General features: G+C 38.3%; 1 protein-coding gene across 14 annotated transcripts in view; it reads right to left on the reverse strand.

Moving 5' to 3' along the window:
* TMEM267 (transmembrane protein 267) overlaps positions 1–17023 on the reverse strand; it is a 40136-nt gene that overhangs the window by 20855 nt on the left and 2258 nt on the right. For 3 of the 14 annotated variants that reach the window (NM_001377395.1, NM_001377398.1, XM_047417516.1), the window contains 2 exons: positions 14784–14881; positions 11008–11383 (listed from right to left, as the gene is read on the reverse strand). The exons of 6 other annotated variants lie outside the window; for them this stretch is intronic. The gene's annotated coding sequence lies outside the window, so the exon portion shown is untranslated. Of the gene's footprint in view, positions 1–11007; positions 11384–14783; positions 14882–17023 lie in introns of those variants that run through there. 5 more of the 14 variants (NM_001377403.1, XM_011514075.4, NM_001377397.1 and 2 more) reach the window with 5 other exon arrangements.

Here is a 17023-nt window from a genome sequence, read left to right on the forward strand (position 1 = left end):
CAAGAAAAAAACAAACAACCCCATCCAAAAGTGGGCAAAGGATATGAACAGACCCTTCTCAAAAGAAGACATTTATGCAGCCAAAAAACACATGAAAAAATGCTCATCATCACTGGCCATCAGAGAAATGCAAATCAAAACCACAATGAGATACCATCTCACACCAGTTAGAATGGCAATCATTCAAAAGTCAGGAAACAACAGGTGCTGGAGAGGATGTGGATGTGGAGAAATAGGGACACTTTTACACTGTTGGTGGGACTGTAAACTAGTTCAACCATTGTGGAAGTCAGTGTGGCGATTCCTCTGGGATCTAGAACTAGAAATACCATTTGACCCAGCCATCCCATTACTGGGTATATACCCAAAGGATTATAAATCATGCAGCTATAAAGACACATGTATGTTTATTGCGGCACTATTCACAATAGCAAAGACTTGGAACCAACCCAAATGTCCAACAATGATAGACTGGATTAAGAACATGTGGCACATATACACCATGGAATACTATGCAGCCATAAAAAAGGATGAGTTCATATCCTTTGTAGGGACATGGATGAAACTGGAAACCATCGTCAGCAAACTATCACAAGGACAAAAAACCAAACACTGCACGTTCTCACTCATAGGTGGGAACTGAACAATGAGAACACATGGACACAGGAAGGGGAACATCACACACTGGGTCCTGTTGTGGGGTGGGGGAAGTGGGGAGGGATAGCATTAGGACATATACCTAATGCTAAATGACAAGTTAATGGGTGCAGCACACCAACATGGCACATGTATACATATGTAACAAACCTGCACATTGTGCACATGTACCCTAAAACTTAAAGTATAATAATAATAAAATTTAAAAAAAAGAAAAGAAAAAAAAAGAAAGGAGTATATAGGGAATAAACTTTTTAAAACTTTAAAAAAAATAGTTATTGGCTGTAAAGATGAGACAGAGGAAGAGATAGGGGTAGAAAGTTTATTGAATGGGATAACAGAGAACTTCTCAAACTTAGATATCGCTATCCAAGTACAAGAAGCTTGTAGAACACCAAGTACATTTAACCCAAAGAAGACTACCTTAAGGCATTTAATAATAAAACTCCCAAAGGTCAAGGATAAAGTAACAATCCTAAAAGCAGCAAGAGAAAATAAACAAATAACATACTATAGAGCTTCAATACATCTGGCAGCAGACTTTTCAGTGGAAACCTTTTCAGGCTAGGAGACAGTGGTATGACATCTTAAAAGTGCTGAAGGAAAAAAAACTTTTATCTTAGAATAACATATCTGGCAAAAATGTCCTTCAAACATGAAGAAGAAATAAAAACTTTCCCAGACAAACAAACACTGAGGGATTAAATCAACACTAGACCTGTCCTATAAGAAAAGCTAAAGGGAGAACTTCAGTCAGAAAGGAAAGGATGTTAATGAGCAATAAGAAATAATTTGAAGGTACAAAACTCACTGGTAATAGCAAGTACACAAAAAAATAGAAAGTGAAAAAGTAGGCGGGGGGGATGAAGTTAAAACAGAGTTTTTATCAGTTTTCTTTTTGCTGTTTATTTGTTTACACAGACAGTGTTAAGTTGTTATCAGGCAAAATAATGGGTTGTAAGAGTATCTACAAACCTCATAATAACCTCAAACCAAAAAACATGCAATGAATACACAAAAAATAAAAAGCAAGAAACTAAATCACATCCCCAGAGAAAATCATTTTAACTAAAGGAAGACAGGAAGGAAAGAAAGAAGGAAGAGGCCAGATGCAGTGGCTCATACCTGTAATTTCAGCACTTTGGGAAAGCAAGGTGAGTCGATCATTTGAGGTCAGGAGTTTGAGAGTAGCCTAGCCAACATGATGAAATCCTGTCTCTACTAAAAATATAAAAATTAGCTGTGTGTCGTGGCGCACATCTGTAGTCCCAGCTACTTGGGAGGCTGAGGCAGGAGAATTGCTTGAACCTGGGAAGTGGGGGTTGCAGTGAGCTGAGACTGTGCCATTGCACTCCAGTCTGGGCAACAGAGAGAGACTCTGTCAAAAAAAAAAAAAAAAAAAAAAGAAGGAAGAAAAGACCATAAAACAACCAAAAAATAAATAACAAAATGGAAAGAGTAAGTCCTTACTTATTAATGATAACATTAAATATAAATGGACTAAATTCTCTAATCAAAAGCCATAGACTGGCTGAATGTATGAAAAACCAAGACCTATTTATCTGTTACCTACAAGAAACACACTTTACCTATAAAGACACACATAGACTGAAAGTGAAGGGATGGGAAAAGATATTCCATGTTAATGGAAGCCAAAAAAGAGCAGGAATAGCTATACCTATACTGAACAAAATAGATTTCAAGACAAAAAGTATAAGAGACAAGGTCACTGTATAATGACAAAGATGTAATTTCAGTAAGAGGATATAACAATTTTAAATGTATGTGCAACCAACACTGCAGCACCCAGATATATAAAGGAAATATTATTAGAGCTAAAGAGAGAGATAGGCCCCAATATAATAATAGTTGGATACTTTGACACCCCACTTTTGGCATTGGACAGATCTTCCAGACAGAAAATCAACAAAGAAACATCAGACTGTGAAAGGAAAACATCCTGGGTCCTTTCAAGCTGGGAACCACTCAGGGCAAATCTGCCTCTCATTCTATTCAAGTCATCCCTTTGCTCACAGAGATAGATACATATTCTGATTGCCTTCTTGGGAAAGACTTATCAGAAACTCAAAAGAATGCAACCATCTGTCTCTCACCTACCTGTGACCTGGAAGCCCTCAGTTGGGGGGGGCCTTACTTTGAGCTGTATCTGCCTTTCTGGATGGAACTGATGTACTTCTTATTGATTTGTTGTACCTGAGCGAGTTAGAAAAATGCCACATTTTGAGACGAATTAAGAGTCCTTTATTAGCCAGTGACCAAGAGACAGCTAATGCTCAAAATTCTCTCGGCCCTGAGGAAGGGGCTTGATTAACTTTCATACCTTGGTTTAGGAAGGGGAGTGGGGGGGCGGGTGTCTAGTTAGAACAATTTTACAGAAGTAAAGTAGGCAAAAAGTTAAAAGGATAAATGGTTACAGGAAAGTAAACAGTTCCAGGTGCAGGGGCTTTAAGACTATTACAAGGTGAAAGACGCGGGGCTTTGGGCATTATCAATCAGATGAATTCCTGGGAACTGCGGATATAGCTTGCCACAGTATCTTATCGGTTAATTGCATTCTTGGATGTGCTGGGAGTCAGCTTGCACAAGTTAAGTCCTTGAGGAAGGGGCTGCCAGTGAAAGAGCCAAGATGGAGTCTGTCTGGTTCTCTTAGCTAAGGGAGAGTCCATTCAGGTGGAAACAAGGCTAAGTGATTAAAGGAAAAAGGGAGAGTCTAAAAACAGGGTTAGTAAAAGTGAGGTTGGGCATTACAGATTGATGTCTTATGTCTCCCTAAAATGTAAAAAACCAAGCTGTGCCCTGACCACCTTGGGCACATGTCATCAGGACTTCCTGAGGCTGTGTTATGGATGCATCCTCAACCTTGGCAAAATAAACTTTCTAAATTAACTGAAACCTGTCTCAAATTTTCGGGGTTCACAAGACTTAATCTGCACTGCAGACCAAATCGATCTAATAAATATTTACAGAACATTTCATCTAAGAGCTGCAGAATATACATTCTTTTCCTCAGCACATGGATATTCTCAGGGATAGACTATACAAAACAAGTCTTAAAACATTAACAAAAATTGAATTAATATCAAGCATCTTCCCTGACCACAGTGGAATAAAACTAGAAATTAATAACAAGAGGAATTTTGGAAACTATACAAATACATGGAAATAAAACAATATTCTCCTGAATGACCAGTGGGTCAATGAAGAAATTAAGAAGGAAATTTAAAAATTTCTTGAAACAAATAATAATGGAAACATAATATATCAAAACCTAAGGGATATGGCAAAAGCAGTACTCAGGTAAGTTTACAGCTATAAATGCCTACATCAAAAAAGAGGAACTTCGTATGAACAATTTAACAGTGCATCTTAACTAGAAAAGCAAGAGCAAAGCAAGCCCAAAATTAGTAGAAGAAAAGAAATAATAAAGATCAGAGAAGAAATAAATGAAATTGAAATAAAAAAATACAAAAGATTAATGAAACATAAGGTTGTTTTTTGGAAAAGTTAAACAAAGACACACAAAAAAAGAAAACTAAAGGCCAATATCTCTGATGAATATTGATGCAAAAATTCTCAATAAAATACTAGCAAACTGAATTCACCAATACATTAGAAAGATCACTCATCATGACTAAGTGGGCTTTATCCCCGGGATGCAATGATGCTTCAACATACGCAAATCAATCAGTGTGATACATCATATCAACAAAATGAAGGACACAAACCATATGATCATTTCAATTGATGCTGAAAAAGGGCTAGGTAAAATTCAACATTTATTTGTTTTAAAAACCCTAAAAATAACTGGGTATGGAAGAACATACCTCAACATAATAAAAGCTGTATATGACAGATCCATAGCTAGTATCATACTGTGAAAGGAAAATAAATCTCGGGACCCTGAAATCACTAAATCAAGAGAAAAGTAAACTTGGGAACTATGTCAGGTAAACCTGCCTCCTATTTTATTCTCAAATAAGATAGCTACAAAGATAAAAAGCTACATACCTCCCTCACAATTTGCCCAGAAGGAAATTCCTTGCGGATCTCAAGATCTTTACCCTGAAACAGTTCCACCCAATTTCACCCTGGCGATGTAAACGGATGGCTTATCTTCACAGGTGCAGGACAGTAAATCATCCCCCTGCTCACCTGAGACAAATGGATATCTGATTGCTTCCTTTGCCCTATTTATGTAAAAATGCAGATTCACTGAGCCAGATAAAATTGTGTATTCATTAAAAGGCTGGGCCAGGACTCAAAATAATGCAACCTTTTTTCTCTTATCTACCTATGACCTGGAAGTCTTCCCTTTGAGTTGTCCCGCCTTTCCAGAAGGAATCAACATACATCTTTTTTGTTTTGTTTTGTTTTCAGATGGAGTCTCGCTCTGCCACCTCAAGGCTGGAGTGCAGTGGTGCAATCTCAGCTCATTGCAGCCTCCACCTCCTAGGTTCAAGTGATTCTTGTGCCTCAGCCTCCCAAGTAGCTGGAATTACAGGCACACACCACCATACCCAAACAATTTTTGTATTTTTAGTAGAGATGAGGTTTCACCATGTTGGCCAGGCTGGCCTTGAACTCCTGATCTCAAGTGATCCACTGCTTCAGCCTCCGAAAGTGCTGGTACTACAGGTGTGAGCCACCATGCCTGGCCCCAACATACATCTTACACATACTGATTGATGTCTCATGACTCCCAAAATGTATAAAAGCAAGCTGTACCCTGATCACTTTGGGCACATGTCATCAGAGCCTCTTGAGGCTGTGTCACGGGCACATCCTTAACCTTGACAAAATAAACTTTCTAAACTGATTGAGAGCTGTCTCAGATATTTTATGTTCACAACACCAAATGGGGGAAAATTGAAAGCTTTTCCTCTAAGATCTGGAACAAGATAAGGATGATGCCCATTGTCATCACTGTTTTTCAGCAGTAATAGACATCCTAGCTAGAGCAATCAGATAAGAGAAAGATATAAAAGGCAACCAAATTGGAAAGGATGGAGTCAAATTAGCCTTGTTTGCGGATGATATGATCTTATATTTGGAAAAACCTAAAGACGCGACAAGAAAACTATTAAAACTATTAAACTAGAAAAGCATGAGCAAACCAAGCCCAAAATTAGTAGAAGAAAAGAAATAATAAAGATCAGAGAATAAATAAATAAAATTGAAATAAAAAAATACAAAAGATCAATGAAACACAAGGTTGGTTTTTTTAAAAGTTAAACAAAATTGGCAAAACTTTAGCCAGACTAAGAAAAAAAGAGGGAAGATAAAAGAGAGAAGATAAACAACTTCAGTAAAGTTGCAGGATACAAAAGCAACATACAAAAGTCACTAGCATTTCAATATGACAATATTGAACAATGTGAAACAGAAATTTTTAAAGTAATTCCACTTATAATAGCCACACATAAAATTAAATACCTAGGAATTAACCAAAGAAGTGAAAGATTTCTATAATGGAAAGTATAAAACAGTGAAGAAAGAAATTGAAGAGGACACCAAAAAATTGAAAAATTATCCATGTTCATGGACTGGAGGAATCAATATTGTTAAAATGTCCATAATACCCAAAGCAATCTATAGATTCAATGCAATCCCTATCAAAATACTAATGACATTCTTCACAGAAACAGAAAAAAAAAAAATCCTAAAATTTATATGGACCCACAAAAGGCCCAGAATACCCAAAGCTATCCTAAGCAAAAAGAACAAAACTGGAAGAATCACATTACCTGATTTCAAATTATACTACAGAGCTATAGTAACCAAAACAGCATGGTTCTGACATAAAAACAGACACATCAGCCAATGAAACAGAAAAGAGTACCAAGAAACAAATCTGCACACCTATAGCGAACTAATTTTTGACAAAGGTGCCAAGAACATACACTGGGGAAAAGACAGTCTATTCAACAAATGGTAATGGGAAAACTAGATATCTATATGCAGAAGAATGAAAGTAGACCCCTATCTCACACCATATACAAAAATCAAATCAAAATGGATTAAAAACTTAAATCTATACTTCAAACTATTAAACTACTACAAGAAAACATTGGGGAAAATCTCCACGACATTGATGTGGGCAAAAATTTCTTGACCAATATCCCTCAAGCACAGGTAACCAAAACAAAAATGGACAAATGGGATCACATCAGGTTAAAATGCTTCTGCACAAAGGATACAATCAGTAAAGTGAAGAAAAAAACACAGAGAACGGGAAAAAATATTTGCAAATTACCCATCTGACAAAGGAATAATAACCAAAATACGTAAGTGCTCAAACTGCTCTATAGGAAAAAAAATACAATAATCTAATAAAAAATGGGCAAAATATTTGAATAGACATTTCTCAAATGAAGACATAGAAATGGCAAACAGGCATATGTAAAGGTGCTCAGTATTTTTGATCATCAGAGAAATGCAAATCAAAACTATAATGAGGTATCATCTCCCCCAGTTAAAATGGCTTATATCCAAAAGACAGGCAATAACAAATGATGAAGAGGATGTGCAGAAAAGGGAAACCTTGTACTCTCTTGGTGGGAATGTAAATTAGTACAGCCACTATGGAGAACAATTTGAACGTTCCTCAAAAAACTAAAAATTGAACTACCATATGATCCAGCAATCCCACTGCTGGGTATATACCGAAAAGAAAGGAAATCAGTATATCAAAGAGATATCTACACTCCTATGTTTGTTGCAGCATTGTTTACAATAGCTAAGATGTGGAAGCAACCTAAGGGTCTATCAACATATGAATGGATAAAGAAAATATGGTGCATATTCACAATGGACTACTATTCAGCCATAAGAAAGAATGAGATCCAGTTATTTGCAACAACATGGATGGAACTGGAGAACATTTTGCTAAGTGAAATAAGCCAGACACAGAAACACAAATATCACATATTCTCACTTATTTGTGGGATCTAAATATCAAAACAATTGAACTCGTGGACATAGAGAGTAGAAGGATCATTACCAGAGGCTGTGAAGGGTGGTGGGGGGTCAGCAGGGGGAGGTGGGGATGGTTTATGGGTACTAAAAAAACAGAAGGCCGGGCACGGTGGCTCACACCTGTAATCCCAGCACTTCAGGAGGCCGAAGTGGGCGGATCACAAGGTCAGGAGTTCAAGACCAGCCTGATCACCACAGTGAAACCCTGTCTCTACAAAAAATACAAAAATTAGCCGGGTGTGGTGGCGTGCACCTGTAATCCCAGCTACTCAGGAGGCTGAGGCAGGAGAATCACTCGAACCCAGGAGGCGGAGGTTGCAGCAAGACGAGATCACGCCACTGCACTCCAGCCTGGACTACAGAGCGAGACTCCGTGTCACAAAAAAAAAAAAAAAAAAAAAATAGAAAGAATGAGTAAGACCTAGTACTTGATAGCACAACAGGGTAACTACAGTGAATAATAACTTAATTGTACATTCAACATAGTTCTGGCCAGGGCAATCAGGCAAGAGAAAGAAATAAAGGGTATTCAATTAGGGAAAGAGGAAGTCAAATTGTCTCTGTTTGCAGATGACATGATTGTATAATTAGAAAACCCCATCGTCTCAGCCCAAAATCTCCTTAAGCTGATAAGCAACTTCAGCAAAGTCTCAGGATACAAAATCAATGCGCAAAAATCACAAGCATTCCTATACACCAATAACAGACAAACAGAGAGCCAAATCATGAGTGAACTCCCATTCACAATTGCTACAAGGAGAATAAAATACCTAGGAATACAACTTACAAGGGATATGAAGGACCTCTTCAAGGAGAGCTACAAACCACTCACTGATCAAGGAAATAAGAGAGGACACAAACAAATGGAAAAACATTCCATGCTCATGGATAGGAAGAATGAATATCATGAAAATGGCCATACTGCCCAAAGTAATTTACAGATTCAATGCTATCCTCATCAAGCTACCATTGACTTCCTTCACAAAATTGGAAAAAACAACTTTAAATTTCACATGGAACCAAAAAACAGCATGCATAAATAGCCAAGACAATCCTAAGCAAAAGGAACAAAGGTGGAGGCATCACGTGACCTGACTTCAATCTATACTACAAGGCTACAGTAACAAAAACAGCATGGTACTGGTACCAAAACAGATATATAGATCAATGGAACAGAACAGAGGCCTGAGAAATAACACCACACATCTACAACCATCTGATCTTTGACAAATCTGACAAAAAAAAGCAATGGGGAAAGGAATTCCTAGTTAATAAATGGTGTTGGGAAAACTGGCTAGCCATATGCAGAAAGCTGAAACTGGATCCCTTCCTTACACCTTATACAAAAATTAACTCAAGATGGATTAAAGACTTAAACGTAAGACCTAAAACCATAAAAACCCAAGAAGAAAACCTAGGCAATTTAGGACACAGGCATGGGCAAAGACTTCGTCTTTTGTTACCAAAAGCAATGGCAACAAAAGCCAAAATAGACAAATGAGATCTAATTAAACGAAAGAGCTTCTACACAGCAAAAGAAACGATCATCAGAGCGAACAGGCCACCTACAGACTGGGAGAAAATTTTTTGCAATCTATCCAACTGAAAAAGGGCTAATATCCAGAATCTACAGAGAAACCAATTTACAAGAAAAAAGCAAACAACCCCATCAAAAAGTGGGTGAAGGATATGAACAGACACTTCTCAAAAGAAGACATTTGCCAGGCGTGGTGCTCACGCCTGTAATCCCAGCACTTTGGGAGGCTGAGGCAGGTGGATCACCTGAGGTCGGGAGTTCGAGACCAGCCTGACCAACACGGAGAAATCCCATCTCTACTAAAAATACAAAATTAGCCAAGCGTGGTGGTGCATGCTTGTAATCCCGGCTACTCGGGAGGATGAGGCAGGAGAATTGCTTGAATCCAGCAGGCAGAGGTTGTGGTGAGCCAAGATCACGCCATTGCACTCCAGCCCGGGCAACAAGAGCAAAACTCTGTCTCAAAAAAAAAAAAAAAAAAAATGAAAAAAGGCTCATCATCACTGGTCATTAGAGATATGCAAATCAAAACCACATCTCACGCCAGTTAGAATGGCGATCATTAAAAAGTCAGGAAACAACAGATGCTGGAGAGGATGTGGAGAAATAGGAACGCTTTTACACTGTTGGTGGGAGTGTAAATTAGTTCAACCAATGTGGAAGACAGTGTGGCGATTCCTCAAGGATCTAGAACTAGAAATACCATTTGATCCAGCAATCCCATTCCTGGGTATATACCCAAAGGGTTATAAATCATTCTACTATAAAGACTCATGCACACGTATGTTTATTGTGGCACTGTTTACAATAGCAAAGGCTTGGAACGAAATGCCCATCAGTGATAGACTGGATAAAGAAAATGTGGCACATATACACCACAGAATACTATGCAACCATAAAAAAGAATGAACTCATGTCCTTTGCAGGGACATGGATGAAGCTGGAAACCATCATTCTCAGCAAACTAACAGAACAGAAAACCAAACACCGCATGTTCTCACTCATAAGTGGAAGTTGAACAATGAGAACACATGGACACAGAGAGGGTACACAGGGAGGGGAATACCAGGGCCTATAGGTGGGTGGGGGGCTAGGGGAGGGATAGCATTAGGAGAAATACCTAATGTAGATGACAGGTTGATGGGTGCAGCAAACCACCATGGCACGTGTATACCTATGCAACAAACCTGCACATTCTGCACATGTACCCCAGAACTTAAAGTATAATTTAAAAAAAAGTCAGAAACAGTATAGCTATTATAACATCGTTTTGGCGGTTTTAATCAATGTAATGAGGAAAAAGAATAAAGGCAGGAGAGGGAGGGAAGAAAATGTATCATTACATTATCAGGAAGGAAAAGATAATTACATTAGTTTGCAGGTGAAATGACTGCCTACCCAAGAGAACCAACAGAAAACTGTTGGAATTTAAGTTGAAAAATGTGGTTAGTTCAAGGTATGAACTAAAACAATTTTTCAATATAATAGCAATAATCATAAGATGGGAAAATGAACATTCACAACAGCAACTCAAAATGCCAAGAATTAAAATAGCAAGAATGAAACAACAAAACTCTATTAAAAGATGAAAAAGATCAGTTAACTAGAGCTCTAATGGCTTTGTACTGTATCAACTCAGCTAACTCGGACTTAAAAACATTTCCCAGAATTCCCTTCCTTATATAGTTCTGGGTACTGTTGGCTATAGGAGACATTATATGGAACTCACAAATGAAGCAAGTCATATTTTTTACACCGTGAAGGTCAATGGAGAGCACACTGTGAAGTTTGCATGTGCTGCCGATCTGTTAGCTCACCTTGCTGGCATGGGGAAGAAGCTGGACCTGCAGCTCCTTCAACTCCCATCAGACCTTCTCTCCACTTCTCCAAATCCTGGGCCCACAAGTGCAGCTCTGACATCGAAAGTGTCATCCTCTCCTGCAGGTTACTCAAGCATCAAAACTAGGGTTGGTGAGAGGCTGATGCAGGTTCCGTTTTGTTCCCAAGGGTTTCAGTTTGTCTTTTCTCTCATCCACATCCAGTATCCCTGTCTGACTGCCAGTCTAGTAGATCTGCAGCAACTTCAGGCTGAACAAGAGACTCAGAGGCAAGTCTGCAGACCGCTCTGCCACCTCCCACAATTCCATAGGTCTTTAGCTCACAAAGTAGTTCTGCTTCTTTGATGGATCCTAACTGATACAAAAGCCAGACCTTTTTTTTTTTTTTTTTTTTTTTTTTTTTGCATAAGAAGACAACACTGATGGTGTTATTCTCTCCAAATTAATCTATAAATTTAATGCAATTTTAATCAAAATCATAAAGGGATTTTCTTCTAGGAACTTCACAAAATAATTTTAAATTTCATTTGAAAGAGTACATGCTAATAAACTTTTGAAAAAAAAGTAGCATAATGTGAGTACATAAAGGTGAATACAAAATCGAGAACCAGACCCAGTACGTATATGGTGGGGAGAAATGTGTACATAATTCTGAATTGGTAGAGGAATGATGTAATATTTGACCCAGATCTCGTTATCAGCTATGGTTCCAAGTGCAAGGAAGGGCAAAAACAGTTTTGTATAAGTAAAAAAAAAAAAATATTAAAATTTTTGAGGCCAGGAGTGGTAGCTCCCACCTGTAATCCCAGCACTTTGGGAGGCCAAGGCAGGAGGATTGCTTGAGGCCAGGAGTTTGAAACCAACCTGGGCAACACAGACTGTCTGTACTAGAAAAAAAAAAAAAAAAAGCCAGGCGTGGTGGTGTACACCTGTAGTCCTAGTTACTCAGGAGGCTAAGGTAGAAGGATCACATGCGTCTAGGATTTTGAAGCTGCAGTAAAAAACTACGATCGCCCTACTGCACTCCAGCCTAAATGACAGGGTAAGACCCTGTCTGAAAAACAACAACAACAACAAATAAGGAAATTGGGAAATCACAGACTTGTCAGGTTTTGAAAACCAGGCTTTGAAACTATCCCTCAAGAACTTCAGTTAAAATGACACCAGACACAGGCCGGGGGCGGTGGCTCACGCCTGTAATCCCAGCACTTTGGGAGGCCGAGGTGGGCGGATCATGAGGTCAGGAGTTCAAGACCAGCCTGACCAACACCGTGAAACCCCATCTCTACTAAAAACAAAATACAAAAAATTTAGCTGGGCATGATGGCGTGTGCCTGTAATCCCAGCTACTTGGGAAGCTGAGGCAGAAGAATCGCTTGAACCCAGGAGGCGGAGGTTGCAGTGAGCAGAATGCGCCACTACACTCCAGCCTGGCAACAGAGTGAGACTCCGTCTCAAAAAAAAAAAAAAAAAAAAAAGGACACCAGACAACTGGTCCGATGAAGATCTCCCTGCCACCAAGCCCAGCTTGCACTGACCAAACTCCTGTCACCAGGTATTTCCAATGGCATTGCTGCCAGTGCTGCCTTGTCTGCTGCTGCTATAAAAGATTCTTGGCAGTATTTGTTTCTTGCTCTCAATACAAAATTCGGAGCGAGGTAAAGTATGTGTCTGATTGGCTAAGTCTAGGTCATATGACCACACTCAAGCTGCAAGGCTGGAGAAGACAGAAGAGTATGTGGCCTTTTCAGTATATACAGATGGTTTCAACCTACGATGGTTCAATTTATTATTTTTTTGACTCTACAGTGGGTTTGTGGGCGTTAATGTATTTTCAACTTATGTAATTTTTGACTTACGATGGGTTTATCAGGACATGGACACCATCATAAGTAAAGGAACATCTGTATAGATGAACATGGGTTCTATCTTCCTTCACAATAGATTGGAAGAGGAACCTCCCAAATATATTACATTGAACAGGAAATGACCTGTCCATATCGGTAATCACTAGGTAGAAAAGGCTATAATTACTAAATACCACTGAAGAAAATCAATCATCAGACAAAACCTAGTTTGGATAATCAACTTTCAGTCTGTATAATGTAATTTTATATAAACAACTTTAGATTTTAAAACGTCACACCCCATGTTTTACAATATAGACTCTTTCTCTGATTAAATTAAGAAAGGGAATCAATTTGGTTGACTAGCTGCCTGGAAAACTTCCATGGTTAGATAGCTTTTGTGATCAACTGGGTTATCAAATTTGGGATACTTATATGAATTTGTCAACAGAATTCTACATAGTCCAGCTAACTAGAGGAGCCCAAAAATATTTTAAAAAATCTGATAGGAATGACTATATAATAATGTAAAGCTTTTAGCTAGAAGAGCTCAAAATTATTTTTAAAAATCTGATAGGCATGACTACACAATAAAGTTTCTGCATGGCAAAGTTAAAGACAAATAAATGGAGGAAATTTAGAACATTTATGACAGAGAAAGATTAGTAGCCCTAATGTATTAAGGGCTCTTAAAATTAATACAGAAATAAGCATCCCAATAATAATGTGGGCAATGTACATAAAAAGACAATTTGGAAAAGAAATACAAAGTGTCAAAAAATATGAAAAGATTTCAATCTTATTAGTAATCAGTTGAATTCAAATTATAACAATGAGATTTCAATGTAAGACTGACAAAAGATTACTAATACTCTGTGATAGTAGGAGTAGGGAAATAATGATCACTCTCAAAGATTATTGGCAAGAATGTAAATTGGTATAAACTTTCTCGTGGTCAATTTGACTATTTATCAAAAACCACAAAAAATAAGCAAACACTTTTGATGCTACATTTCCAATTCCAGGAAAATAAGGAAATAATTAGATAAATATGAACAGCTATATATGAATATTCAGCATAGCATTGTTTACAAGAAAAATTTTAAAATAATGTATATGTCTGAAATATGGCACTAGTGAAATAAATTCCACAAATATGCAGCCATTAAAAAATACTTATTCTCATATTTACTGAAATAGAAAGATGTTCATTAAGTATTCAAATTTAAAAGATAACCTATAAAATAATATGTAAAAAATTACATTTTTGTTAAAAAATATATACAGGTCTATTAAAAAATCTGGAAGACTGTTTATTTGGTTTGTTTCTCAGCGGTGGGCTTACAAATGTAATCATTACTTTTTTTCCTTTTTTGAATTTTTGAAAAATTTCGATGTCTTACTGTTATGACCATAAAACCAATAAAGCTACTTTGAAAAGTTAAAGCCAGGAGTAATTAAACAACTCATACTTGATTGTTAAAGTCAGTCTCTTAAAAGTGTAATTTTAAAAAGGTAATAAAAAAGGTATAACATTATAAATATATATTAATATGCACATTAAATATATAACACTAATTGGTATTAATAAAATTACATCCAATCTCATAAATCAAATTTATTGTATAACATAACAATTTGTTCATAGTTATGTAATAATAGACACAAGAAATAACTTATGCAGATTCCTTATGTGAAGCGTACTTACTTTGCAGATAACAACTATTTTTTAAATGATAATGGAGTCTACAACAATGCTCATTCTTGATCATTTGCAATAATGAAAATTGTTCTCTAAAGCATTAAGATGGATTATTTTCTATAGATTCTTCCAGGATCTGGAAATAATGATTTCCAGGTACTCTCAACCAAGAGATGTGACCAAAATACAAAAAATGCAAAACATACCTCCATTACAAAGTCATGAATCCTTTCTATAAACCTCAGGATTTACAGTGTCACAAATTATGAATCATTGTCTCCTTTAGAAAACAAACATTCAACACCTGAATGGATAAAGAAGTCAACATATTTAAATATTTAATGCATATAACTTTAAAGTTGATAAAATGTCCCTTTCAACTAAAAATAAATGCCCTTATCCACTTAGCTGGACTGAAACAGGGACACTGAAAACTTGAATTAATGGCCAACCCAGAGCAGCGGCAGCAGCAATATTCCCCTCCTTCAATAAAGTATGGCCTGTAAGTTAGCCCTAATGAGAAAGAAGGCCATTCAGGTATGAGAAGAACCTAGGCTGGGCACAGACTACACAGACGCCTAACACAAAAGCTCTGCTGCCACTCAATCTTTGTTTATATATTATCACAAATTTTCTTTTCTTTTTTTAGAGACAAAGTCTTGTTCTGTTGCCCAGGCTGGAGTGCAGTGGCATGGTGCTAGGTCACTGTAGCCTCTAACTCCTAGGCTCAAGCAATTCTCCTGACTCAGTCTCCTGAGTAGCTGGGACTACAGGCAAGTGCCACCAAGCTTGGGCAATTTTTTCTTTTTTCTTTTTTTTTTAAGAGACAGGGTCCCTCTATGTTGTCCAGGCTGGTCTCAAACTCCTGGCCTCAAGTGTTCCTCCTGTCTCAGCCTCCCAAAGCACTGGGATTACAGGAGTGAGCCACTGAGCCTGACCCAATTACAAATTTATTTTCAACCCTCATTCCAGAAGGAAGACAAAAATAAAAAGCCAATATCCACTTAACTGCAAATTTCATGATGTCCTTATAAAGCCAGTGCATTATATTTTCTTTCACTCATGAAGCAATTTTTAATAATCACAATATATATTTAAATGTTAATAATCTTACTTTTTTTTTTTTTTTTTTTTTTTGAGACGGAGTCTTGCTCTGTCGACCAGGCTGGAGTGCAGTGGCGCGATCTCGGCTCACTGCAAGCTCTGCCTCCCGGGTTCATGCCACTCTCCTGCCTCTCAGCCTCCCGAGTAGCTGGGACTACAGGTGCCCGCCACCACGCTCAGCTAATTTTTTGTATTTTTACTAGAGACGGGGTTTCACCATGTTAGCCAGGATGGTCTCGATCTCCTGACTTCGTGATCCGCCCGCCTCGGCCTCCCAAAGTGCTAGGATTACAGGCGTGAGCCACTGCGCCCGGCTTACTTTTTTTTTTTTTTTTTTTTGACAAGGTATCTCTGTTGCCCAAGCTGAAGTGTAGTGGCACGATCATAGCTCACTGTAACCTTGAACTCATGGGCTCCTGCTTCAGCCTCCTGAGTAGCTAGGACTACAGAAATGCACAACTATACTTGGCTAGATTTTTGTTTTTAAAGTGTTTTGTAGAGATGGGGTCTCATTGTGTTGCCCGGGCTGGTCTTCAGCTCCTGGCCTCAAGTGATCCTTCCACTTTGGCCTCCCAAAGTGCTGGGACTACAGGCAGAAACTACCACACCGAACCTACTAACTCTACATTTTACATGATGAGTTCAGATTTTAAAAGGATTAGTTTGCTAATAAAGTGTCGTGAGCAAAGTGAAAAATCAAAAGATTACTTGAAGTATTTACATGATGATCCAAATTTAAAGCGACCTCAACAAGCAAAATTTACTGTTTACAAAAAACTGTATCACGGTTTACGAATAGGAACACATATATTATATATAATGGGTATAATGCGAATGCATTTTACCAATGGAAAGTACAAAACAGCTTGCTGATGAAAGAGGAAGGAAAAAGCTCACAGTGAACTTGGAAGCAGATCCTTCAGCCCCAGTCAACCCTTCAGATGTCCGCAGCCACTGCCGACATCCTGACTGCAACTTCATGAGACCCTGGGCCAGAACCGCCAGCTAAGTCTTGACCCCACAGAAAGAATAAAATTATTGTCTACTGTTTTTTGTTTGTTTGTGTTTTGTGTGAGATGGTTCCTCGCTCTGTCACCCAGGCTGGAGTGCAGTGGCATGATCTCGGCTCACTGCAAGCTCCCCCTCCCGGGTTCACGCCATTCTCCTGCCTCAGCCTCCCGAATAGCTGGGACTACAGGCGCCCGCCACCACGCCCGGCTAATTTCTTGTATTTTTAGCAGAGACGGGGTTTCACCCGTGTTAGCCAGGATGGTCTCGATCTCCTGATCTCGTGATCCGCCCGCCTCGGCCTCCCAAAGTGCTGGGATTACGGGCGTGAGCC

Source organism: Homo sapiens, chromosome 5 (genome assembly GCF_000001405.40).
Source record: "Homo sapiens chromosome 5, GRCh38.p14 Primary Assembly".
NCBI lineage: Eukaryota > Metazoa > Chordata > Mammalia > Primates > Hominidae > Homo > Homo sapiens.